The sequence below is a fragment of the Homo sapiens genome, chromosome 2 (genome assembly GCF_000001405.40).
Source record: "Homo sapiens chromosome 2, GRCh38.p14 Primary Assembly".
In the NCBI taxonomy this organism is placed as follows: domain Eukaryota; kingdom Metazoa; phylum Chordata; class Mammalia; order Primates; family Hominidae; genus Homo; species Homo sapiens.
In genome coordinates, this window is record NC_000002.12 from 158283316 (window position 1) to 158310472 (window position 27157).

The 27157-nt window shown below is 39.9% G+C and overlaps 1 protein-coding gene across 2 annotated transcripts in view; it reads right to left on the bottom strand.

Annotated features, from left to right (window-relative positions):
- The window catches only part of CCDC148 (coiled-coil domain containing 148), a 285681-nt gene that overhangs the window by 112243 nt on the left and 146281 nt on the right, over nt 1-27157 (bottom strand). For both annotated transcript variants that reach the window (NM_001301684.2, NM_138803.4), the window contains one exon: nt 26118-26324. In NM_001301684.2, the coding sequence (NP_001288613.1) occupies nt 26118-26324 (207 nt within the window). The remainder of the gene's footprint in view (nt 1-26117; nt 26325-27157) is intronic.

The window sequence follows — 27157 nt, forward strand, 5'->3', positions numbered from 1 at the left end:
AGAAACTACCATCAGAGTGAACAGGCAACCTACAACATGGGAGAAAATTTTTGCAATCTACTCATCTGACAAAGAGCTAATATCCAGAATCTACAAAGAACTCAAACAAATTTACAAGTGAAAAACAACGCCATCAAAAAGTGGGCAAAGGATATGAATAGACACTTCTCAAAAGAAGACATTTATGCAGCCAAAAGACACAGGAAAAAATGCTCATCATCACTGGCCATCAGAGAAATGCAAATCAAAACTACAATGAGATACTATCTCACAACAGTTAGAATGGCAATCATTAAAAAGTCAGGAAACAACAGGTGCTGGAGAGGATGTGGAGAAATAGGAACACTTTTACACTGTTGGTGGGACTGTAAACTAGTTCAACCATTGTGGAAGTCAGTGTGGCGATTCCTCAGGGATCTAGAACTAGAAATACCATTTGACCCAGCCATCCCATTACTAGGTATATACCCAAAGGACTATAAATCATGCTGCTATAAAGACACATGCACATGTATGTTTATTGTGGCACTATTGACAATAGCAAAGACTTGGAACCAACCAAAATGTCCAACAATGATAGACTGGATTAAGAAAATGTGGCACATATACACCATGGAATACTATGCAGCCATAAAAAATGATGAGTTCATGTCCTTTGTAGGGACATGGATGAAATTGGAAATCATCATTCTCAGTAAACTATCGTAAGAACAAAAAACCAAACACCGCATATTCTCACTCATACGTGGGAATTGAACAATGAGAACACATGGACACAGGAAGGGGAACATCACACTCTGGGGACTGTTGTGGGGTGGGGGGAGGGGGAGGGATAGCATTGGGAGATATACCTAATGCTAGATGACGAGTTAGTGGGTGAAGCGCACCAGCATGTCACATGTATACATACGTAACTAACCTGCACATTGTGCACATGTACCCTAAAACTTAAAGTATAATAATAAAAAAAAAAGAAAACCAATAATGACAGATTAGTATTTCAGACCAACCTTTCTGCTAAACTAAAAAATAACTATTCAGTATTTTTTATAATTAATAATAAAAATAACAACCTCTTAAAGAACTTAACAAGATGGTGAGGAACGAATGTGACAAGTGAAGATCTCCTTTTGGAAATTTGGATAGCTACTCCAAATCAGAGATTCTTTTGTGAAAAACTGAGGGTAAGCACTGGGGCATTCACCAACTCAGGGAGGAGGACAGGGCTTTGGAAAGATCATGAAGGAATCTGAGTGAAAAACTGCAGCAGTCAGCTGGGATCCTTGATAACTGGAGCAATTAAAAAGGCTTCAAGCTTTGGTCCTGGACTTTTAATGCTTTCAGGAATACGGCAGAAGGATGCAGCATGTTCATTGGAAGAGGCTAATATACTTACATATCAAATTATTTCTGTGAGCATTTTTAATTCAATGTCTAGTAAATAACCAAAGTGCAAGGTACATGAAGAGAAAGAACCTGAGCCAGAACCAGCGAAAACAAAAGGCATCTGTAGAAATTATCACAAACAGATTATAAAACAACACTGCTTACTGTGTTCATGGAGATGAAAGCTGAGCTTAAAATTTTAAGCAAGGAATTTAAAATTATGAACACTGACATTTAAAATTTTGAAAAATAAGCAAATATCAATTCCAAAACTGATAACTGATATTAAGAATTCAGTGCATTAGGCTGGGCGTGGTGGCTCATACTTGTAATCTCAACACTTTGGGAGGCCAAGGTGGGTGGATCACCTGAGGTCAGGAGTTCAAGATCAGCCTGGCCAACATGGTGAAACCCTGTCTCTACTAAAAATACAAAAATTAGCCAGGTATGGTGGTGGGTGCCTGTAATCCCAGCAACTCAGGAGACTGAGGCAGGAGAATCGCTTGAACCTCGGAGACAGAGGTTGCAGCGAGCTGAGATCATGCCATTGCACTCCAGGCTGGGCAGCAGGAGTAAAACTCCATTTCAAAAAAAAAAAAAAAAAATCAGTGTATGAGATTAACGGCAGATGAGAAATAGCTAAAGAATTGATAATCTGAAAGCTAGATTAGAAGAAACTCTCCAGAATAAAGCATAGCATATGAAATAGGAAATAGAAAAAGAAGGTAAACATAGAATCAGAAAAAGTATTTAATAATAGTAATATACATATATATACACATACATTCATACATACATATACTTCTAGCAAACTAAAACTATAAGGTAACTACTTTTTTTTTTTTTTGAGACGGAGTCTTGCTCTGTCGCCCAGGCTGGAGTGCAGTGGTGCAATCTCGGCTCACTGCAAGGTCCGCCTCCCGGGTTCACACCATTCTCCTGCCTCAGCCTCCCCAGTAGCTGGGACTACAGGCGCCCACCACCACGCCCGGCTAATTTTTTTTTTTTGTATTTTTAGTAGAGACGGGGTTTCACCATTTTAGCCAGGATGGTCTTGATCTCCTGACCTCATGATCCACCCGCCTCAGCCTCCCAAAGTGCTGGGATTACAGGAGTGAGCCACCGCGCCCAGCCAAAAGTTAACTTATTTAATCTGAGAATGTTCTCTTTCAGGTCAGGAACAAGACAAAAATGGCCCTTATCAATGCTTCTATTCAATACTGTAATGGAGGTTCTAACCAGTACAGCAAGGCAATAAAAATAAGTAAAAGGTATAAGCACTGGTAAAAGGAAGCAAAATTGTCATTCATAGGTGGCAATATCCTATACATGGACAACCTAACATAATGTACACAAAAATTATTAGAATTCATAGTACTCATATTAATATGTATTAATATTAGTATACCAAGGTTGCTTATAAAATCAATATAAATTATATTTTTATGTTCTAGAAAAAATAAGACACAGTTTTTTTAAAGATTCTATTTTCAATAGCAAAGACACCAAATATGTAGAAATGAATCTGGCAAAAGATTGTATAGCACCTCTGCAAAGAAACAATAAAACTTTACAAGAGGCTGCTCTGCCTATGGAGTAGCCATTCTTTATTCTTTTACTTTCTTAATGAAAAAAAGACAAAACAACTTTATAAGAGAAATTAAAATTAAAGAAGACCTCAGTAAGTGAAAATGTATACAATGTTCTTTATTTTGCAAAGCTCTCCATTCTTGCCAAATTTATTCATACATTCATTACAATATTAAACAACCCTCAATAGGACTTCTTTTTTAGAACTTGGCAAATAGTTTCCAAAATGTAATGCAAAGGTTCAAGAGTTAAAAAGACACTTATGAAGAAGAACAACAAGGTAGGAGGGCATTTTCTATAGCAACACTCATTACAAAGCTATAATATCTAAGGTAGGACAGTATTTGCCCATGGACATAGACAAATAAAATGGAATGGAGGGTTCAGAAGTAGATTTAGAGACACTTGCCTATGGCACAGACGGAACTGCAAAACAGTGGAAAGGACAGAGCTTACAATAAAAGGTACTGGGACAACTGGGTATCCTTATGATAAAAAGTAATATTAGACATTTACCTCATACCATTAAAAAAAACAAGTCTAGGATTATGGGTCTGAGTATTAGAGGCAAAATAATAAAGCCTTTAGAAGATTAAAAGGAAAATGGATTCATGACTGTATTAGTCCGTTTTCATGCTGCTGATAAAGGTATACCCAAGACTGGGAAGAAAAAGATGTTTAATTGGACTTACAGTTTCACATGGCTGGGGAGGCCTTAGAATCATGGTGGGAGGTAAAAGGCACTTCTTACATGGTGGTGGCAGGAGAAAAATCAGGAAGAAGCAAAAGCAGAAACCCCTATAAGCTCGTCAGATCTTGTGAGACTTATTCACCATCACGAGAATAGCACAGGAAAGACCTGCCCCATGATTGAATTACCTCCTACTGGGCCCCTCCCATAACACATGGGAATTCTGAGAGATACAATTAAAGTTGAGATTTGGGTGGGGACACAGCCATACCATATCATTCCACCCTGTCCCCTCCCAAATCTCATATACTCACATTTCAAAACTAATCATGCCTTTCCAATAGTTCCCCAAAGTCTCAGCTCATTTCAGCATTAACCCAAAAGTCCAAGTCCAAAGTCCCATCTGAGACAAGGCACGTCCCTTCTACCTATGAGCCTAGAAAATCAAAAGCAAGTTAGTTACTTACTAGATACAGTGGGGGTACAGGCATTGAGTAAATAGAGCCATTTTAATGGGAGAAATTGGCCAAAACAAAGGGGCTACAGGCCCCACACAAGTCCAAAATCCAGCAGGGTAGTCAAATCTTAAAGTTACAAAATGATCTCCTTTGACTCCTGTCTCAAATCCCGGTCACACTGATGCAAGAGGTGGGTTTCCGTGATCTTGAGCAGCTCTGCCCCTATGGCTTTGCAAGGTACAGCCTCCTTCCGGCTGCTTTCACGGGCTGGCATTGAATGTCTGCGGCTTTTCCAGGTGCAAGGTGCAAGCTGTTGGTTGATCTACCATTCTGGGGTCTGCAGGATGATGACCCTTTTCTCACAGCTCCATTAGGCAGTGCCCCAGTAGGGACTCTATGTGGCAGCTTCAACGCCACATTTCTCTTCTGTACTGCCTTAGCAGAGGTTCTCCATGAGGGCCCCACCCCTGTAGCAAACTTTTGCCTAGACATCCAGGTCTTTCCATACATCTTCTGGAACCTAGGAAGAGGTTTCCAAACCTCAATTCTTGACCTCTGTGCACCCGCAGGCTTAAACATTACATAGAGGCTGCCAGGGCTTGGGGCTTGCACCCTCTGTAGCCACAGCCTGACCTGTACTTTGGCCCCTTTTAGTTATGGCTGTAGTGGCTGGGATGAAGGACACCAAGTCCCTAGCACAGGAACCCTAGGCCCAGCCCATGAATCCATGTTTTCCTCCTACACTCTGCCCTGTGATGAGATGGGCTGTTGTGAAGACCTCTGACATGCCCTGGAGACATTCTCCCCATTGTCTTGGGAATTAACATTTAGCTCCTTGTTACTCATGCAAATTTCTGCAGCCAGCTTGTATTTCTCCTCAAAAAATGGGATTTTCTTTTCTATTGCATTGTCAGGCTGAAAATTTTCTGAACTTTTATGCTCTGTTTCCCTTTTAAAACTGAATGCCTTTAACAGAACCCAGGTCACCTCTTAAGTGTTTTGCTGCTTAGAAATTTCTTCTGCCAGATATCCTAAATTATCTCTCTCAAGTTCAAAGTTCCACAAGTCTCTAGGGCAGGGGCAAAAAGAGTCATCTTTGCTCCAGTTCCCAATAAGTTCCTCATCTCCATCTGAGGCCACCTCACCCTGGACCTCATTGTTCATATCACTATCAGCATTTTTGTCAAAACCATTCAAAAAGTCTCTAGGAGGTTCCAAACTTTCCCACATTTTCCCGTCTTCTTCTGAGCCTTCCACACTGTTCCAACCTCTGCCTGATACCAGTTCCAAAGTCACTTCCACATTTTCGGGTATCTTTTCAGCAACACTTCACTCTACTGGTACCAATTTACTGTATTAGTCCATTTTCATGCTGCTGATAAAGACATACCTGAGACTGGGAAGAAAAAGAGGTTTAATTGGACTTACAGTTCCACATGGCAGGGGAGGCCTCAGAATCATGTCAGGAGGCAAAAGGCACTTCATACATGGTGGCAGCAAGAGAAAAATGAGGTGGAAGCAAAAGCGGAAACCCCTGATAAATCCATCATATCTCATGAGACTTAGTCACTATTATGAGAATAGCATGGGAAAGATCAGCCCCCATGATTCAATTACCTCCCACTGTGTCCCTCCCACAACACGTGGGAATTCTGAGAGATACAATTCAACTTGAGATTTCAGTGGGGACACAGCCAAACTATATCAATGACTTTGAAGTCAGGAAATTATTTCTTACATAAAATATAAAAGAACTAACCATAAAAGACAAAGATTGATAAATCAATTACATAAAAATTGTAAATGTTTCTTAATTGAAAGATACTATTAAGAGAATGAAAATGAGTGATACAGGATTGGAAAACATACCTGAAAAACATATAACCCACAAAGAACTAATATGCAAAATATTTAATGAACAAGTACAAATCGATAAGAAAAAGTGGGGTAACACAATAGAAAAAAAATGGATGAAAGACTTAAACAAGCAATTTCACAAAGAAAAAAATCCAGATAGCCATTAAACATGCTGAAAGTCCCTCAATTTAATTAGAAATCAGAGAACTGCAAGTTAAAACTACAATGAAATACCACAATACATTTTTAAAACCAGATTGGTTTAAAAAATACAGTAGGATGACAGAAACATTCACAAGGATGTGGAACAACAGGATCTTTTATATGTAGCTGGTACAAGTTCTGGTACAAGCTTGTTAGGAAAAAAATGCAGTGGTACCTTGCCAAGTTGCAGAAACACATATTCTATATTGTTAGGTATGGACCCAGGAGAAGTGTGTATACCAGGGAACACATATAAAAACATTTATTGCAACATTGTTTCTAATAACCATGAAGTAGAGATAACCCAAATGTCTATCAACAGCAAAACGGATCAATAAATTGTGGTACACAATGGCCACACATAACAAAATATTGGGGGAAAGATGCCACACACAGTACGGTAACATACTACTTGATTCTATTCACAGGAGTTCAAACACAGGCAAAACTAAATTATATTACTCAGGGATGCATATCCAGTGATAAAACCAAGGAAATGACTGACACACAAGTTTGTTTATAACATGGGAAGGTGAGGGGTTAGGGTAGGGTGGAGCTACATCAAGTATTTGAATAAAGGGTAGAGCATAGTAGAGGTGGACCTGGGAGACATGTGAGATGCAGATATGCAGGTTGAGGTGAGGCACACAGGAGAGGGAGCTGAAGGATGGCAGGTGGCTGAGGAGGGCACAAGCTGGGAGCACCAAGACAAGCTGGGGAATAAAGGAGGCTGGCGGTGGGAAGGACTGGGCACAGGGATACCCCACCACTCAGGACACATTGTCAGTATACAATCACATTTCATCCCATGGTCTCTAACCTAGCTTACTGCAAAAGCTTCCTAATGCATCTGCCAGCTTTTTCGCTTGTCCTGTCATCCATTATCATGCCTACAGTTCGACTGTTTAGCCAGAGCACGTCATCCTCTGCTCACTCCAGCCACACTGTTCTAATTGCTGTTCCTTGAATACATCAGCATGGCATTTACGCTTGCTGTTCCCTTTGCTTAGAATACACCTCCCCTAGAATTGAGTCTCAGGATTTGACTCAATTGCTGTCTTCTCAATAAGGCTTTCCATAGATAGTTCCATCTAAATTATCATTTCCCTCCTTCCCCACATTCTATCATTTTCTTTGCTTTATACTTTTCTCCCTAGCACTTTTTGCTCTCTTGTAGTATTTATTATAGATTTTGTTGATTTATCTTGTTAGTCATCTTAACTTGCATTAGAAATGAAGCTCCATGAGGGTTGGGATTTTGGAATCTTTTCCACAATTTGATTCCCTAATATTTGGAAGAATGCTAGCGTATACTCAGCATTCACTAAATATTTGTTGGATTAATGAATCTATCCATCCCATAATGAAAGTAGAAACCTTTCATTTCTTTCAATTCTTTGGCTCTTTCTTCTCCCTCACCCAGTTCTGCCCATTCAACTTTCTCAATATCCCTCTACTCCTTTATCTCCACCTCTATCACCATCACTCTAGTTCAGACTACATCATCTGTCACCGAGACGATGGCAATAGAAACCTGACTCCCCACCTCTAGCCCTCTCTCCATAAAATCCATCGCTGCCCCTAACGTTCCCAGCTATGAGACTGATCCTCTTTTATATATATTTTGTTTTTTAAAGAGATGGGTCTCGCTATATTGCCCAGGCTTGACTGGAACTTCTGGGCTCAAGTGATCCTCCTGCCTCAGCCTCCCGAGTGGCTGGTATTACAGGCATGTGCCACGGTCCCCAGGTCCCAGGCTGATCTTAAAACATGTCCCTCTTCTGATAAAGGCTTCCAATGGCTCCTCATCACACAGGTAGACAAAAACTCCTGCTCCTTGATGTTGCACACAAGGCCCTGCAACATCTAGTACACACCTAGTTCTCTAGCCCTTCTCTCATTACACTCTGATTCACACCTTAAAAATAAGAACCACTGAACTGCTTTTGCATCCTGGAACATTGTTTCTGATCTAAGGAAGACTGGCTCATCTCTTCCCAATGTCTAGAATGTCCTCCCACTCCTCATTTTACCAAGCTACCAATCCTATCCTTGAGCAATTTGTTGAAAGGGTTGCCTCTTTGGTGTTTATATGGTTGCCTTCCTCGTTAGGCTATGTGCTGTCCTCTGTGCTCCCGTAATTCTTATACATATCTCTCCCATGGTGTATACTGCACTCCATAACAGCCAAATGTTTATGTGTCTGCCTCCTCTACTGGAATCTGAGATCCCTGAGGATGAATTACTCATCTCCAAATGCCCAGTGCCTGTCATAATGTCTGGCACAAGGTAGGTGCACAAAAACTATTTGTTGAATGAGTAAATGAATAAATTACACCATATAAAAGAAAAATAATTTTTGTAATAATCACTAAGTATATTACTAACAAGCAACTTGTGTCACTTTCAAATACCCAGGCATTCAACATATGTCTTTTATAAATTCCATCTCTTGTGAAAGTAAAGAAATAGGCACAGAGCCCAGAAGAATCACATTTAACATGTCTTTTATGGTCTTTTCATGCCCAGAAAGTTGATTCTCTTTATTATAAATGCCTCAGGCACTGAAAGATCACTTTTTTCTTTTTTTTTGTTCAACTTTATCCCTTTGCTAGTCTGCCTCTCTCATCCACAAAAAGAACTTCCAGCAAGCCACTATAACCAAATGAAACATTTATTATAATAAAACAATATTGGAGAAACTCAATATACATTATTTTAGACATTTACAAAATAGGGATTTTCTCAAATAGTCTTCAGCGAAAATACTCTGATGGGAATTCATTTGGTTATAATCAGCTTGGCAAGGAATACCAAGCAGGCACCGGGTTCAGAGAATGATATGCTCCACTAGGTGGAAATGTACTTGAATACTGCAGATATCAAAACAGAGATTTCCTTCAACAACTAATATATTTAATTCCTCCATTATCACACAGATAATTCTATGAAAATAAATGATACATTTAAAAGTATCATCTGTCCATTTGCAAACTTTCCATTCTGACCTTGAAATTCTCTTGATAAAAGCTTTCCTGTGCCATCCGGAGCTAAGAGCAAGAAATCAAGACTCGAGTCTTTCTAACCAATTATTCCTTCACTCACTGCCTAAAGTTTCCCTAATCAAACAATGCCAGGGTAAAGGGCAAACTACAAAAGGCAGTTAGATCTGCCTTCTGAGTTTCTTGCTGGAGAAAAGTATATATAGAAACCAGAATGAGCTCTGGTGTTATGCAATCTATAGGGATTGCCTGAAATAGACTCAGATGAATTAATGGCACGGGCAGATTTTACAGTGCAATTTTTAAAAACACCATGAAGAATATAAAAGCCAGATGTAAACTATTTGAAATACAAGTAAATTATCAGAGAACATAAAGGAGTACACAAGATTCCTCCTATAGCACTTTTTTAATAAAGTCAATTTGTTACAAATGCAGCATATTCAAAGGTATAGTAAATTAATGCTGTGTTTATTGAGTACCCATTATGGATCAGGATTGGTGTTAGGCATTAGTGATACAAAGCTCAATAAAAAATGTACCCTTCCTAACAAACCTGCACATTGTGCACATGTACTCTAGAGCTTAAAGTAAAATTTTAAAAAAAGTACCCTTCCTTTCACATGTTTAGCGTCCAGAAATAGACACACAAACAAGTATGTATATCAGATATAATAAATGTAATATGGGAGATGAGCACTAGGAAGACAATATGGGGGGTGGGGGAGAAGCACATTCACAATATCTATGGCATTAGTGTAAAGAGCAGATCTCCAGAGAAAGTTGCACTGGTAATATACCCTCATAGGAGCCAACACACCTTACACTTGTCTGCACACTAGGTTGCACCATATGATATTGCTGATATTATGCCATTCCTGACCTATAGAAACAGCAAATTGACATGTTTTAACCTATTTGTTTCTAAAGCAAAGTTTCATTTATTTATTCCACAAATATTTGGCAATCACATAGCAAGTGCAGGTAGGGAGGATAAAGAGAAGGTAGAGTAGATGGAGACTAAGAGAAGCCAAGGACTATAGTCACCACTTAACAAAATGTTTTTTTCCCCTAAAATTTTCCCTGAAACAATATCATAGACTTAGCCCTCCAGGAGAACTATGCTGATCAGAGGACCCTATGGTTGGCCTTAGAGATAATAAGCCACAGAATCTTTGTGAGAATACCTGAAGCAGAGGTTGAGTCTTAGAAAGGAAGGTACCCCCAAATTCCTTGCCGGCAACTCTCATCCCTGGAGTCTGCTAGTTGTCCCTGTTATTTTATTCTCACCTTTATTCATAGTAATAATCTCTGAATTTTGGCTGGGCATCAACTACCTAAAATAGACTGCATTGCTCAGCTTGCAGCCAGGCATGGCAAGTACAAAGAATGTGCAACTTCTGGAAAACCAATGAGGGGCATGGATGTGCCTTCCTGCCTTCCTTCCCCTCTCCCTCCCTCCCTCCCTCCCCCCCCCCCTCCCTCCCTCCCTCCCTCCCTCCTTCCTTCCTTCCTTCCTTCCTTCCTTCCTTCCTTCCTTCCTTCCTTCCTTCCTTCCTTCCGCCTTGGAAATCCCTCCCCATCCCCACCCCGCCAAGTCCTCTGCAAAGACTGATTTATTTTATGTTCCTATAGTTTTGTCTTGCCAAAAGATCATGTAAGTGAAATCATATGGAATGCAGCCTTTTGTGTCTGACATATTTTGTTTAGCGTAATACATTTGAGATGTGTACATGCTGTTGCTTGTATCAGTAGTGTTTTACTTTTTGTTGCTGAGTAATATTCCATTGTATGGAAGTATCACAGCTTGTTTACCCCTTCCCTGGTTGAAGGCATTTGGGCTGCTTTCAGTTTTAGCAGTTATAAATAAAGCTGCTATAAATGTTTACTTATAAATTTTTGTGTCAACATAGATTTCCAGTTTAAATGAATAAACACCCATGAGTAGGATTGCTGGGTCATGTGGTAAGTGTGTGTTTAATAGTATAAGGAACTGCCAAAACAAGCCAAAATAGTAAAAAGAACTGCCAAAATCGTATAAAGAACTGCCAAGATTATGCCTGTAATCCCAGCACTTTGGGAGGCCAAGATGGGCAGATCTCTTGAGGTCAGTAGTTGTAGACCAACCGGGGCAACATGGTGAAACCCCGTCTCTACTGAAAACACACAAATTAGCCAGGCGTGGTGGCTGGTGCCTGTAATCCCAGCCATGCAGGAGGCTGAGGCATGAGAATTGCTTGAACCTAGGAAGCAGAGGTTGCAGTGAGCTGGGATCTCACCACTGCACTCCAGCCTGGGTGACAGAGCAAGACTCTGTCAAAAAAAAAAAACAAAAAAAAACCTGCCAAAATGTTGCACAAAGTGACCATGTTACTTTGCATTCCCCGCTAGCACTGTATGAGAATTCCAGTTGACGATATTTGACATGATCAGATTTTTTAGTTTAGACTTTCTGATAGGTAATACTAATAGCCCCCTGTGGTTTTAACCTGTATTTTTCTACTAATTAGTGGTATTGAACATCTTTTCTTGTTTTATTTGCCATATATCTTCCTTGGTGAAGTGATTGAATTTCTGCTCTTTTAAAAAATTGAGTTGTTTCTTAAACTAGAAAATCTAGAAGAAATGGATAAATTCCTCGACACATACACCCTCTCAAGACTAAACCAGGAAGAAGTTGAATCTCTGAAGAGACCAATAACAGGAGCTGAAATTGTGGCAATAATCAATAGCTTACCAACCAAAAAGAATCCAGGACCAGATGGATTCACAGCCGAATTCTACCAGAGGTACAAGGAGGAACTGGAACCATTCCCTCTGAAACTATTCCAATCAATAGAAAAAGAGGGAATCCTCCCTAACTCATTTTATGAGGCCAGCATCATCCTGGTACCAAAGCCGGGCAGAGACACAACAAAAAAAGAGAATTTTAGACCAATATCCTTGATGAACACTGACGCGAAAATCCTCAATAAAATACTGGCAAACTGAATCCAGCAGCACATCAAAAAGCTTATCCACCATGATCAAGTGGGCTTCATCCCTGGGATGCAAGGCTGGTTCAATATACGCAAATCAATAAATGTAATCCAGCATATAAACAGAACCAAAGACAAAAACCACATCATTATCTCAATAGATGCAGAAAAGGCCTTTGACAAAATTCAACAATGCTTCATGCTAAAAACTCTCAATAAATTAGGTATTGATGGGACGTATTTCAAAATAATAAGAGCTATCTATGACAAACCCACAGCCAATATCATACTGAATGGGCAAAAACTGGAAGCATTCCCTTTGAAAACTGGCACAAGACAGGGATGCCCTCTCTCAGCACTCCTATTCAACATAGTGTTGGAAGTTCTGGCCAGGGCAATTAGTCAGGAGAAGGAAATAAAGGGTATTCAATTAGGAAAAGAGGAAGTCAAATTGTCCCTGTTTTCTTATTAAGTTTCAATAAATTTTTATAAATTCTGCACACAACTCTTCATTAGACATGCAATTTGCAAATATTTTCTTCTAGTGGATGGCCTGTCTTTTTATTATCTTAGCAGTGTCTTTCAACAATTTTGAAGATGTCCAATTGATCAATTATATATTTTAGGGATACTACATTTGGTGTCGTATCTCAGAAATCTTTGCCAAAACCAAGATCATAAAAATTCCCCCAAGTTGTCTTCCCCATGTTTTGTAGTTTTCAGTTTTACATGTGGGTTTATGATCCATTTTGAGTTCATTTTACATACGGTAGAAGTATGTATTAAGGCTCACTTATTTTTGCATCTGGATATTCAATGGTTCACACCATTTTTTTCATAGGACTACCCTTTCTTCATTGAACTGACTGCATATCTTTGTTGAAAATCAACTGACTTGAGATGTGTGGATCTATTTCTGGACTCTCTATTCTGTTCCACTAGACATGTTTACATTTTTTTAATGGCTATGTATTTATTTTTAACAGATATTTTAAGAATATTGGCTTTCCAACTCCAAGTTGTAACTTCCCCTCCTAAATTACCCAGTACTTGAGATTATGGTTGCCTGAAATTTTGTTGCATAAAGTCATTGTAAAATGCAAACATCTATATTCTAGACCAAGTATCCTCATTTGCAAAACATCTTGTGACATGTTGTTATGACTTGCCACAGAAATATAAGGCTCTCATTATAAAGAACATTTAAAAAGTACAGCCTCTTTTAAACTTTGTAAAATAGACCCCAATGCAGACAGATACACTTTAAAAACTAAGACATTTTAAGAGTAGGGCTACTTGGAATATTTTACTTGGAACTAATATGTAGATTCATCAAGTCCTCGAACCCTGGGAATTTCAATTAGCTACCTGCCAAGAGCCACAGATAGTGCAATATAGCTGTATAGACGAAATGCCATCTGCTGCTGTGACCAAAAATCACTCTGGCACTGATGCCTATGGTTCCTCAGAGCTCTCTTTCTTCTGCTAATATTGTATCCATGGTTAACCACAGGGAACTTCTCCATAAATGCTCCCAACTGCCGTGACTATAGGGAAGCCGATAATGCAAGAAATTCATCACTAGCACTGATTATGCTAATGATGCATAGCACAATTGACCACACCAAAATACTCATGAACAACTGCCTTAAATTGGCAGAAACTATTGAATCCTTGCCAGTTCTCATAGTAAACTGGACACCCAAGTTCCTCCAATTATGTTGTTTTTTCTTGTCTAATCAACGAAGTATATTGTGTGGAGATCCCTAATGCTCTAAAAGAAGCAACTTGCTGTATCTCCTGAGCAAATACCCCCTAAATGACGTCAGAGTACAAATGAAAGTAAATTACATCTATAGATGTTGACATATCATTATTATATGCATCTCCTTCCCTATACCTTTTCACTTGGGCCATGTGACTGATGGATGAGCTTTTTGTGATTATCTCTGCCTCAAAGGTGATCCAACATAGTGTGTGCCTGCAAGATCTATTTCAGCTTGGACCAGGAGAATGATGAATCATTACTGATTCTGTCTGTTTTTCATCTTTAACCTGCAGCCAGCAAGAAAGCAGTCAAAATAGCATAGCAGGACCCAGACACCCTCTGTGTCAGAGTTTTTAGTTGCACACAGCAGAATCCACCCTAGATAGTTTAGCAGAATGTATTAATTATGGAATTTTAGAAAGCTCATAAAATCTGTGGAGGGGGCAGAGAAGCAAGCTCTAGACTAAGTTTCCAGAAATAACATCCAGAATCATGTACCACAGAGCTGGTCTAGTAGAAGCCACACTGCCTCTGGCACAATTGGGAAGTTGTTGCATCACCAGTGACTCAGAACAGACTGCCTTTGTGTGTGACCACACCAGCAAAACGATGGCCATGCCATGTCTGTCTCTTCATATAACTCCCTTTCTCTTTATCCATCTGAATTAGTCTGTTCTCATGCTGCTAATAAAGATATACCCAAGACCAGGTAATTTATAAAGGAAAAAGGTTTAATTGATTCACAGTTCAGCATGGCTGGGAGTCCTCAGGAAATTTACAGTCATGGCGGAAGGGTAAGCAAACATGTCCTTCTTCACATGGTATCAGGAGAGAGAATGAGTGCCCAGCAAAGGGGGAAGCCCCTTATAAAACCATCAGATCTGGTGAGAACTCACTCAGTAATAGGAGAACAGGATGGGGGAAACCACTCCTGTGATTCAATTATTTCCACCTGGTCCCTCCCACAACATGTGGGGATTATGGGAATTACAATTCAAGATGAGATTTGGGTAGGGATACAGCCAAACCGTATCACCATTGTTTTCAGGAGTTTGACTGTCAAGTGCCTAGGTGTGGTTTTTTTTTGGTGTGTTTGTCTACTTTGGGGTTTGTTGAGCTTCTTAAAAATATAGGTTGATGTCTTTCACTGGATTTGGTAAGTTCTTAGATATTATTTCTTCAATACTGCCTCTATTTTATTCTCTCTCTTCTTTTTCTGGAACTTTAATTACATATATAATACAACTTTTTACCATGTTCCACACCTCTCTTATGTTATCTGCTCTATTCTCACTTTCACTTTATTATTTTTTCTTTATGTGCTTCAGGTGGAATATTTTCTATTGGCTTGTCTTCAAGGTCACTAATTCTGTCTTCTGCTATGCCCAGTCTGCTGATAAAGCCAATTCAATAGATTCTTAATTTAAGGTACTATATTTTACATTTCTAGAATTTCTATTTGACCCATTTTTATATATGCAAATTCTCTACTGAAATACATATTTTCATTCATTTTTTCCATGTTTACTTCTATTTTCTTTAACAAATTAATCATAATTATCTTGAGGTTCTTGTCTTTTAACTACAAATATCTGGATAATCTCTGAGACAGTTTCTTTCCTTGATTATCTATCTGATTTTCCTGTTTCTTTGAGTATTTGGTAATTTTCATCATATTTTGGACATTGTGAATCATATTTGTAGGGCCTCTGGGTTATGTTATATTTCTCTAAACAGTGTTGAGCCTTAGTCAGGAAGGCACTTAAGTTGCCAGAAAATCTCCTGAATTTTACTGATGCTTTGTCTTGGCCTTTTAGAGGGTAAGTCTGTTTCTATTTTCTTTATAATCCTAGAGTACAGCCCTTACCCCTACGGCATGGCCTTTCTAGGGTTTCAACCGAATGTCTAGAGAGTTCACCAAGATTTCTCTACTTTGACTAAACTAGAACTCCAAGACCTACACCTCCCCAGGCCTGTGTCCTGTGACCTCTCAAATCTCTATTTGGTTCTCAGCCTTCTAGTGGTTGTTCTCTGTTTGTCTTTTAGCATCTCATCCTGCACATTCAGAACTTAGAAGCTGGCAAAGGACCCAAGGAATATTTTCATATACATTTTGGAGGCTCTTTATCTGCCAGTCCTTCATCTCTAGTATCCTGCCCCCAAATTGTATTTGCCTTTGCAGCCCAAACTCCAATCTCTGCTTCTTTTACCTATCAAGACTATCATTTTCTGCTTAGGCTGTTTCTATCCACCTCATATTGAAAGATGACCTCAAGAAGAAATCCAGGGTGAATAAGAGGCTCACTTTTAAAACTTCTCTTATTTCAAAAATCTCATCCATACACTGGTTATCCAATGCCTGCAAACATTTTTAAATCATTTTGTCAAGTTTCTATAGTTGCTTACTGTGTGAGGGTGAGTCTGACAACAGCCATTCATCATCCCTGGAACTGGAACTCAGAAAACTCTATTTGAATTAAAGTACTGCTCACATCTGATTTGTGAAACCTAAATCCAAGTCTGCTCTCCAACAGCAAAGGAGGCTGAAATCTGTGGAGAAGGGGGGAATTATGGAAGGAATTGATACTGTGGAGAACTACCAAATGTGGAGAGAGAGAGTTCAAGTGATATTTATTCAAAAAGGTATCTTCTCTCTCAACATTATCTCATTTTCTTAGCTACTTGTGGCTTCTTGACTGGGTCATACAATCAGCTAGAGAGACAACGAGGAGCACAAAAACAAGATGAAGTGAAGAAGAAAACTAAGTGCCTGGTGACTTTGTTCATGCCTAAAATATACCTCAATTTTATGGGTAGTCAGGTTTTATTTTTAAAACTACATTTGGCATCTCAGAATATTCAATGTTGACAATTCAGTCTTGTACTTCACTTCTTGATGACTGCACATCATATACTTGTTTCAACAGCAAGTTTCCTGAGAAATACATTAGAAAGAAGGTAGTGAGGAGAGTACTGTGTCAGGAGGTATTGAGAAGAAGGAACAAAATGCCTAAGGCTTATCCACTTCACTTCAACAAAAGTTACTGAGCACCTATCAGGTCCCAAACACTGAAAATCTAGGGCAGGGGTAGGGGGAGGCTTACACCAAGATGAATAAGATGGTGTTCCTGTTTGCACTTCTTTTGGGGAAATAGAGTTTTTAGTGTGACATAATCATAATCACAGGCGAGCCAGAGTTATGTACCAGGAGTTAGGGAGAACAAAGAGTGTATTGACTCTAGTCAGGGATTCAACAAAGTTTTCCTGTATCAGACATTTGAGCTGAATTTTGAAGATGAATGAGACTTATTCAGACAAAGGAAGGTAAGAGAGGCATTCCAGGCAAAGCCAACAATAGCAAGAACAAAGGCACAAAAACAGGAAATAGAATGTTGCACTGTGCAGTGGCAGAGGTAGAGTGAGAGTGAATTACAAGGAGTTTGGTATTTCTAAATTGTAATGTGTAAAATGGAGTGTGTCAAGAAAGGAGGCTAGAAAGAAAGCCGGGGTCCAAATTACTGAAAACCTGGACAGCCATGCCAGAAAGTTGGGCCATTACTGTAAGCAAATGAGATGGTATCATTAGGGAATGGCATACCTGAATTGCAGTTTTTTTAAGAGACAGGGACTCACTCTGTCACCCAGACTGAACTGAAGTGCAGTGATGCAATCATAGCTCACTGTAACCTTGAACTCCTGGCCTCAAGAAATCCTCCTGCCTCAACCTCCTGAGTAGCTAGAACTACATGCACGCACCACTACTCCTGGCTGTTTTTTTAAACACTTTTTTGTAGAGGCAGGGTCTTGCTATGTTGCCCAGGTTGGTCTTGAACTCCTGGCTTCAAGCAATCCTCCCACCTTAACCTTCCAAAGCACTGGGATTACATATATGAGCCACTGTGCCTGGCCTGAATTGAATTTTAGATAGAGCATTCTGCCTGCAATTTAGAGAAAGGGTTTCTCAAGGGCAGAATGTGAAACATAGTCATGAGAGGAGCAATAGCTCAGGAACAATGGCCAGGGCTTTATGATAGAAAAGAAGGGGCAGATAGATAAAGTTTTCAAAAGTTGGTAAATAGCTATGAAGGTAAGAGAAAAGAGGAAGCTAAGTTTCAAGTAAGAAGTGCAAATTTACCACAGGAAAATGAGGATTTCTATTTTGGACACTGAATTTGAGGCATTCAGCCTTCTAAGTTGATATAATCAGCATGTAGCTGGATACATGAAGCTGAAGAGAGAACTGTGCAGAAATGGGAATAGAGATCTGAGAGCAGTTATAGCATATCAGGGTAGGCGGAATCACGAGGAGGCTTAGTGGCCAATGAAGTAAGGATATAAGAGCAAAGAGCAAGGACAGAAAACTGGAAGGCTCCAGCGTTTTAAAGTGGGCAGACAATGGGAAATATACAGGAAGACTAAGAACCACTGTAAGATATGGCAAGATAGGTTTTACAGAATCTGAGGGAGTAAAGAATGTCAAAGAGTGGATCGTCAACAGGGAAGTGAAGGGGAGAGGTCCAGGAGGATCAGGATGGAAGAGCCTTGCTGGATTAGGTAATACGGTGGTCACTGGAGACCTTAAGGGGTGGAGAAGATTTCAGTAGACTGAGAAGTCAGAAGTTCTTGGGACGATAATGTAGACTATTCTTTCAAAGGATTGATTTCAAATGAAAGAGTAGAGCTAGGGACTGCCCAAGACCTTGAGGATGACAAGAGAAGGCTTCTTTGGATAGTCTTTTGACTTAGTCATGTTTATAGGCTGAAGGAAACACTACAAAGAATAAGAGAGACAAAAATAAAGAAAGGCGATAACCACTAGCATCACATTTCTAAAGTAGTTGGGGGGGTCACAGTTCCAGACTTTAGGGAGAAGGACCGAACTTGAACACATAGGAAGCATCACACCCTTCATCTAGAGGAAGGCCAGCACCTGGCAAGAGACAGAAAGGCATAGGGTGGGGAGGAAGAAATTAGGGGTTGTTTCACTCCTCAATGACTGAATTTTCTTGCTAAAGTAGGAGGTGGCTTGTCTCCTGGGAGTCTGAGAATGAGGGTGTATGGTGTCAGGTAAGGGTCCTATGGAGTGGCGACCATAGGAAACAGTCATAAAAGGAATGGGGAGAGTGGGCAAACTAAGGACAGGATGAAAGCCTCTCATGTGGCATTCAGCATCCAGATGAAGTTAACTCTTCCCCTTTGGCCACCAGGCAGCACTCAGCCACCCAGCATGGAAGCAAAGAAAGACAATTATGAGGGCCGGGAGCGGTGGCTCACACTGGTAATCCCAGGACTTTGGGAGGCTCAGGTGGGCGGATCACAAGGTCAGGAGATCGAGACCATCCTGGCCAACATGGTGAAACGCTGCCTCTACTAAAAATACAAAAATTAGCTGGGTGTGGTGGCACATGCCTGTAATCCCAGCTCCTCAGGAGGCTGAGGCAGGAGAATCACTTGAACCCAGGAGTTGGAGGTTGCAGTGAGCCGAGATCGTGCCACTGCACTCCAGCCTGGTGACAGGGTGAGACTCCATAAAAAAAAAAAAAAAAATTATGAGATGGCTCTGGGGAGGATGTTCCTAGGCATGCCGTTGAAAGACAAGGATGCTGCGGAATTGAGTGCACAGCTAACAGACTGGTTCAGGCAGTAGTCGGGGAAAACTTGGGGGATCAAAGAGCAGGTTTCATGGGAGCAGGAGATTGAGAGCTCTGCTTCCTCCCTTTACTCTCATCCTCTGGTGAGAGGCCTAAATGCCTCTGCTTGCTACAGCAACTGTTATGACAGAAACCAAAATAAAACAAAACAGAGACAGAGAAAGAGAGCACGAGAGCATTATTTCAAAATTCCTTTAACACATCTTAAAAGACACAAATCATCTAAATTACCCCCCAAAAGCCCTTTTAAATTCCAAGGCTGAGAACAAAATTATGGTTAAATGTTTAATTAATGTTTATTATAGCTGGCATATTAGTTTTAGAAAGGTCAAATTTATGATACAATGAAGTAATATTTTTCACACTCTGTGGGCCTACTTTATAGCACACTGGAGCCTACAGTATAATAAATATCTTCTATTATTTTGTAGAACTCTTGTATGCAAACCTTTGTGGGGCCAAGATAATATTGAATTACAAGTTGAATGAGCTGGTGTGAACCTTAGGCAAGTCACTTCATCTTTCAGGGCTCAGCTTTCAGGCTTATAAAATGAAAGGCAGGGATAAATTGCCAAGTTTCCTTCCAGGTTAAAAAAAATTATAAGCATATTTTAACATTTTAAGTGACTGAAGAATTTATAGATTTACTTATTTTCTTTTATGATATCATTCTGATCCCAGCTATAATTTACTGAGCTCAGTCCCTCATCAGGAATACAAATTCCAATGATAACACCCTCTCTAGAAAAAACAGAATCCATTTTACTATAGTGTACTTTATGTTCTGATTTCCCCCACTGTCTGCCTGCATTTACACTTCTCAGGTTTCATCCCTGAAAGTTCAGATATTTGTTTACCCTCATGTGACCATACCCTTCTGAGGAGGCTACATTTTATGTTGTCTCTTAGAGCTGTGGCCTTGATTCAGTGGCTAGATGCTCTGCAGCAACCTCTGCACATCTCAGCTTAGATTTGTCATTGAAGAGAATATCAGGAAATGCACAGAAAGCATCTATTAGGATGCCTGGTGGATAGGAGACACTCAGTAAAGTATGCTTAGTATACGGTACAGCATGATGTGTGAGACATCAACAAAATGTGGCATTGTTTTTGTCCTCCATTCAGATGTTCTCCAACCACCAATTGAAAACTCAGCAGAATGCATGGCTCACTCTTGGGTTAGAGAGGTCCGTGGTAACTTTAAGTCACAAAACACAGTCTTGGTTCAAAATCAGTGCCTGGTTCCAAGAGATTAGTTACCACTTCCCTCTTCATGCAGAAGATGGCTTCTTCTTTCATTCCCCAGATGCTTAAACCTTCAGGGCCCAGAGGTGGGAGAAAGAAAAGAAGAGGAGGGCTAAAGAAAAGGAAAGCAAGTTCTCAGATGATGGGTGACTGACACTGTCCTAAGTAAGCTAGGCAGGAGGTTGATACTGACCCTTGATCTCCAAGCAGTACTGTTGCCTTGATTGCTAGCTGGGCTTTCCAGGAAAGATGCTCCTGATGTGGGTCATGCTCATTTACCTTTGACTAGCCATTTCTTTTCTATCTGTCAGGTTCCCATTTATTGTTGTTCCATCCCACTGTTTTTGGGGTCCCCTTACCTCTGGCAGGAACCCTGTTAGGCAGAAAAATCTTGGGCAGAATATCTTTGACAATGGCCCTTTACCATTAGCCAGTGGTTTCTTAAATAGGGCACAAAAAAGATTGATGAATTATATTTCATTAGGACCTATGAGCTTCCATTTAGGTGTAGAAAGTTAGATAGAATATTGTTCTCACCGTAACCAGAAGAAAAAGCTGAATCACTTACATCAGGACTTTTCCTGAACTCATCAGAGAGCAGAGGTCACAAGGCAATAAATTAGCCTGAAATTTAAGGAAAGACAGATGCCTCCAAGGAGAGCCAGGATGTGACAACTGGCTTACCTGCAGCAGAGCACCTGGGGAGATGAGGCCACTATGGAAGTGGGTAAGAAGACTGCAGCTAAAATGTTGTAATAAATTGATAAATTTTAATGATTTACAAGTTTTAATGACTTCGCAGAGCATGAGACTATAGAACCTGTGGAAGCTACAAACACAAGAGGAATTTGCACCCACTCTCAGGCTTTTCTCCATAGATCTCACAGAGTGCTCACAAAAAAAATATCAGAGTCAGGGTAGGAGAGCAGAGAACGCATCCTATGACAGTGCAGATCTGCCAGAGAGGATCCAAAGCCCTATAGAATGAACACCCATCACTGCTGAAGGAAAAGCCACAAACCCACTAGGGTACAAGTGTGGACCCATCACAACTGGGAGAAGGAAATGAAGAAACCATCTTCTCCTGGGGACGGTGAAGGAAACTATCTCCCTCACAAGAACATCAAATTCATGAGGCAGAATTTGTCTGCCATGGGGAAAAGAGCAGGATTGTTGAGTAAGCCCTTAGCCCCAAGACCCAGGGACACAGGCCCTGCCTGAGACTGAGGTTGAACCAGTATTGCAGAATGCCCCTTCCGCTACCAGGCTAGCAAGTGTCTAGTAACAATCTAGTGCAGGGGAAGGAACAAGAGTGTGGCAAGCCAGGCACAGTGGCTCACCTGCAATCTCCGTGCTTTGGGAAGCCAACGCAGGAAGATTGCTTGAGGCCAGAAGCTCAAGACCAGCCTGGGCAACATAGCAAGACCCTGTCTCTACAAAATATTGAAAAACTGAAAAATTAGCCAGGCATAGTGGTGCATGCCTGTGGTCTCAGCTATTTGGAAGATGGAGGCAGGAAGATCACTTGAGCCTGGGACATCTGGGCTGCAATGAGCTATGATTGCATCACCACATTCCAGCCTGGGCAACAGAATGAAACCCTGTCTCTTAAAAAAAAAAAAAAAAAAAAAAAAGGAGGGACACCCTCTGAGGCACAGGCTCACCAGGAAGCCTAAAGTCTACTCCCACTATAAGCAAGGCAACATTAATCACCAATAACTTGAAACAACTGATGAATGGAAAAACTGTAACGTAGCCATGTCATGGAATACTACTCAGCAATAAAAAAGAACAAACTATTGATACAAACAACATGGGTGAATCTAAAATGCATTATGCTAAGTGAACAAAGCCAGACTCAAAGGCTACACACTGTTGAGTTACACTTACATGACCTTCTAGAAGAGGCAAAACTATAGGGATAGAGAACAGATCAGTGATTGCCAAAGGCTGGAGGTAGATGAAGGGTTGACTACAAAGGGGAGTGAAGAATTTTTGAGTGGTGGTGGAACTGTTCTATATCTTGATTATAGTGGTAGTTATACACCATGCATTTTCAAAATTCATAGAACTATGCATTAAAAATAGTGATTTTGGCCAGGTGCGGTGGCTCATGCCTATAATCCCAGCACTTTGGGAGGCTGAGGCAGGTGGATCATGAGGTCAGGAGATCAAGACCATCCTGATTAACACAGTGAAACCCCATCTCTACTAAAAAAAAAATACAAAAAACGTATGTTTATTGCAGCACTATTCACAATAGCAAAGACTTGGAACCAACCCAAATGTCCATCAATGATAGACTGGATTAAGAAAATGTGGCACATATACACCATGGAATACTATGCAGCCATAAAAAAGGATGAGTTCATGTCCTTTGTAGGGACATGGATGAAGCTGGAAACCATCATTCTCAGCAAACTATCACAAGAACAAAAAACCAAACACTGCATGTTCTCACTCATAGGTGGGAATTGAACAACGAGAACACTTGGACACAGGAAGGGGAACATCACACACCGGGGCCTGTTGCAGGGTGGGGGAAGGGGGGAGGGAAAGCATTAGGAGATATACCTAATGTAAATGATGAGTTAATGGGTGCAGCACACCAACATGGCACATATATACATATGTAACAAACCTGCACGTTGTGCACATGTACCCTAGAACTTAGAGTATAATAATAAAAAAAAAAAACACTAAAAAAAAAAAATTACAAAAAAATCAGCCAGGCGTGGTTGCAGGCACCTGTAGTCCCAGCTACTCAGGAAGCTGAGGCAGGAGAATGGCGTGAACCCGGGAGGCGCAGCTTGCAGTGAGCTGAGATCACACCACTGCACTCCACCCTGGGCGACAGAGCAAGACTCCATCTCAAAAAAAAAAAAAAATAGTTATTTTACTATATATAACATATCTCAAAGACATTTAAAAATAAAAAAAAGTACTTCATTAAAATTAAGAAGTTTTGTTCATTTAAAGATGCCATTAAGAGAAGTGAGGAGACAAGTCATTGATTGGGAGAAAATAAAAAGAAATAGCTCTTGCATACAGAATATATAAAGAACATACAAATAAGTAAGAAAAAAAAGCACAAAACCCAATAGAAAAATAGGCAAAAGACTTGAGTGGGCTTCTCACAAAAGAGGATACCCAAATGGCTAATAAACATATGAAAAGACACTTGGACAGCTTTATTCTAAGTGCAAATAAAAACCATAATGAGGTACCACTACTCAGTCACCACGTTAGATGAAATTAAAGATTAGCAATACCAATGTTGGGGAAGATGTGAAGCAACTGAATTCGGTTGCAAATTTGTATAACCACTTTGGAAAACTATTTGGCAGTATTTACTAAAGCTAAACACATCTGAGCCTTATGATGTAGTGATTCTGCTCCTAAGTATACTATCTATCCAATAGAAATGAATGTATATGTCCAACAAAAGACATGTTCAAGAATGTTGATAGTGCCATTATCATAATAGCAAAAACCTGAAAACGGCTCAAATTTCTGTTAGCAGGAAAATATATACATATACTATGAAATACTAAACAGCAATAAAGAAGAACAAATAGCTGTAACATGCCACAAAGATGAAACAGATATGATGAATCCAAGAAGTACAAAGGACTATATACTGTATATATCATTTGATTTATATGAAGTTCAGGAACAGACAAAACTAATCGATGGTCATGAAGTCAGAATAGTGATCACAGGTGGGGATTGTATTTACTGAGAAGAGGCACTAAGTGGTCTTCTGAGCTGCCAGAAACATTCTAGGTTTTGATCTCAGTGGTTTTTCATGGGTATGCGTGTGTGTCATAAAGCTTCATCCAAGAGTCTTTGAGTCAGCATTAGACAGTTACTTTATCAAGACACTTGCATTTTCGTCTAGCACCTCAGTCTGATGTGCATGTCTATGGTTGGTATTGGATATCCCAATCAAAACTTCAATATTAACATCCTGTTATAGTAACTTTTTGGTTGAACCATATGAAATTATTGATTGTTGACCGTTTTTGACCTAAAGTGCACTTGTGCACTTTACTACATGTATGTTTACCTCAGTGCAATACAATATAAGGAAAATATCAATTTCAGCATAGCTCAACAGTTAATGATAATGTGTGCAAAATGAATATAAACAAACTAGGAATACAATAACTTGTCATGGCCCCTGGCCCCTGTGTGTTTCTTATCAGCCTGAAGATGGAGAAGAAACATGTATTAGCCCTGCAGCCCATGATAGACCAGCTTGATGCAGCTTCTATTCCTTTTAGGTCTCAAGCTTATGCAATGTCAAAAGAAATATCTTTTTGTTTTAAAAAATGCAGATGAAACATTTTTCCTCTAATGTTTTAAAACAAAGACATTTGTTTTATATGCTCTTAATTGGTATTGCTTAATGTCTGCCAGTTGTTTTCTATCAGGAGAATAAAATTTTTTGTTGCACCATCATCTTCCTACCATATCATTTATCAACTTAAGATTTGTGCACTTCAAGTATGTTATACCTCAATACAATTTGTTTTTAATGGCCCTGGCCAACACTCCTGGGGAGGCCATATCCACATCAGGCCTCCAGGACTCATGCACTGTGACCCTCCTGTGGAATGCAATTATTCCCAGCACAACAACCACTCTTACTTACAGTTCTGCCACTAAAGCAGCTCCTCTATTTCCCTCTGAGCATTGCTCCAGTCCTCAATCCTTCTAACAGCGAGGGTTACCTACCAACTCCCCAAGCCATCCTCAATCCAGCCCCGCTAGATATTTCTGGGTCTGAGGAGGAGGAAAACCCCATCCATTCCCCAACACTTCGCTGAGGACTCACACACAGCCCAGCAAGCTTGCCCCAATGTATTTCATCATAAAGCCTCTCTTCTCCTCCTCATTTGAACTTTTTGCTATCTTTGATGTGAATGAGAAGTCCAAGAGTCTTTAGATCAGCATTAGACAGTAACTTTATCATTACACTTGCATTTTTGTCTAGCACCTCAGTCTGATGTGCACATCTATGGTTGGTATTGGATATCTCAATCAAAACTTTGATATTAACATCCTGTTATAGTAACTTTTTGGTTGAACCATATGAAATTATTGATTATTGACTGTATTTGACCTAAAAAATGCAATTTTATACAGTTCAAACTAACAGTTTTATTAAAGGTAGGCTTTTGTTTTTTAAGAGAAACTGAACTTTAGGTTGAGTTTGAACAAAAGGGAAAAATGGATTCTTAAATATCCAGACAAATACTGAAACACCTGTGCAGCATCTTACCTTGGCTTTCAGATCAGCACACAATTCCTGTTGCTTTTTCTTGTCCTTAGCCAACATGCTCTCCATTTCATGTGTTGCACAAGCCTCAGTGAGTGTCAGCACAGCCTTCTGTATAAAGTCTTTCTTATTTTTATTCCAATTTGATATCAGGATATTTTGCTGCTCTATAGCAAAGCGATATTGGTCACAATATTTCTCGTGTTCAACCTGAAAAGATAACAGAGGGTGAATACTTATCATTATGAAAATGAGCTTACATTTTGCATCATTGTTACAAAAATGAAAAGAAAATGAATTATAACCAATGATTTTGAAAAACTGGGGACAAATATTTAATCGTAAATACAGCAACCAGAAACCAGGTACTACCGCCAAAATTCTGAACCCATGGCTAATTGGTGACTGAGGACAAGTCATTTAATGTTTATAAGTCCTTAGTTTCCTCATATAGGATGCAGTTACACCAGGTAACCTCTAAAACCACTTTATTTTTTAAATTTTTTTAGTATTTATTGAGCATTCTTGGGTGTTTCTCAGAGAGGCGGATTTGGCAGGGTCATAGGACAATAGTGGAGAGAAGGTCAGCAGATAAACATGTGAACAAAGGTCTCTGGTTTTCCTAGGCAGAGGACCCTGCAGCCTTCCACAGTGTTTGTGTCTCTGGGTACTTGAGATTAGGGAGTGGTGATGACTCTTAAGGAGCACGCTGCCTTCAAGCATCTGTTTAACAAAGCACATCTTGCACCGCCCTTAATCCATTTAACCCTGAGTGGACACAGCACATGTTTCAGAGAGCACGGGGTTGGGGGTAAGGTTATAGATTAACAGCATCCCAAGGCAGAAGAATTTTTCTTAGTACAGAACAAAATGGAGTCTCCTATGTCTACTTCTTTCTACACAGACACAGTAACAATCTGATCTCTCTTTCTTTTCCCTACATTTCCCCCTTTTCTATGCGACAAAACTGCCATCCTCATCATGGCCCGTTCTCAATGAGCTGTTGGGTACACCTCCCAGACAGGGTGGCGGCCGGGCAGAGG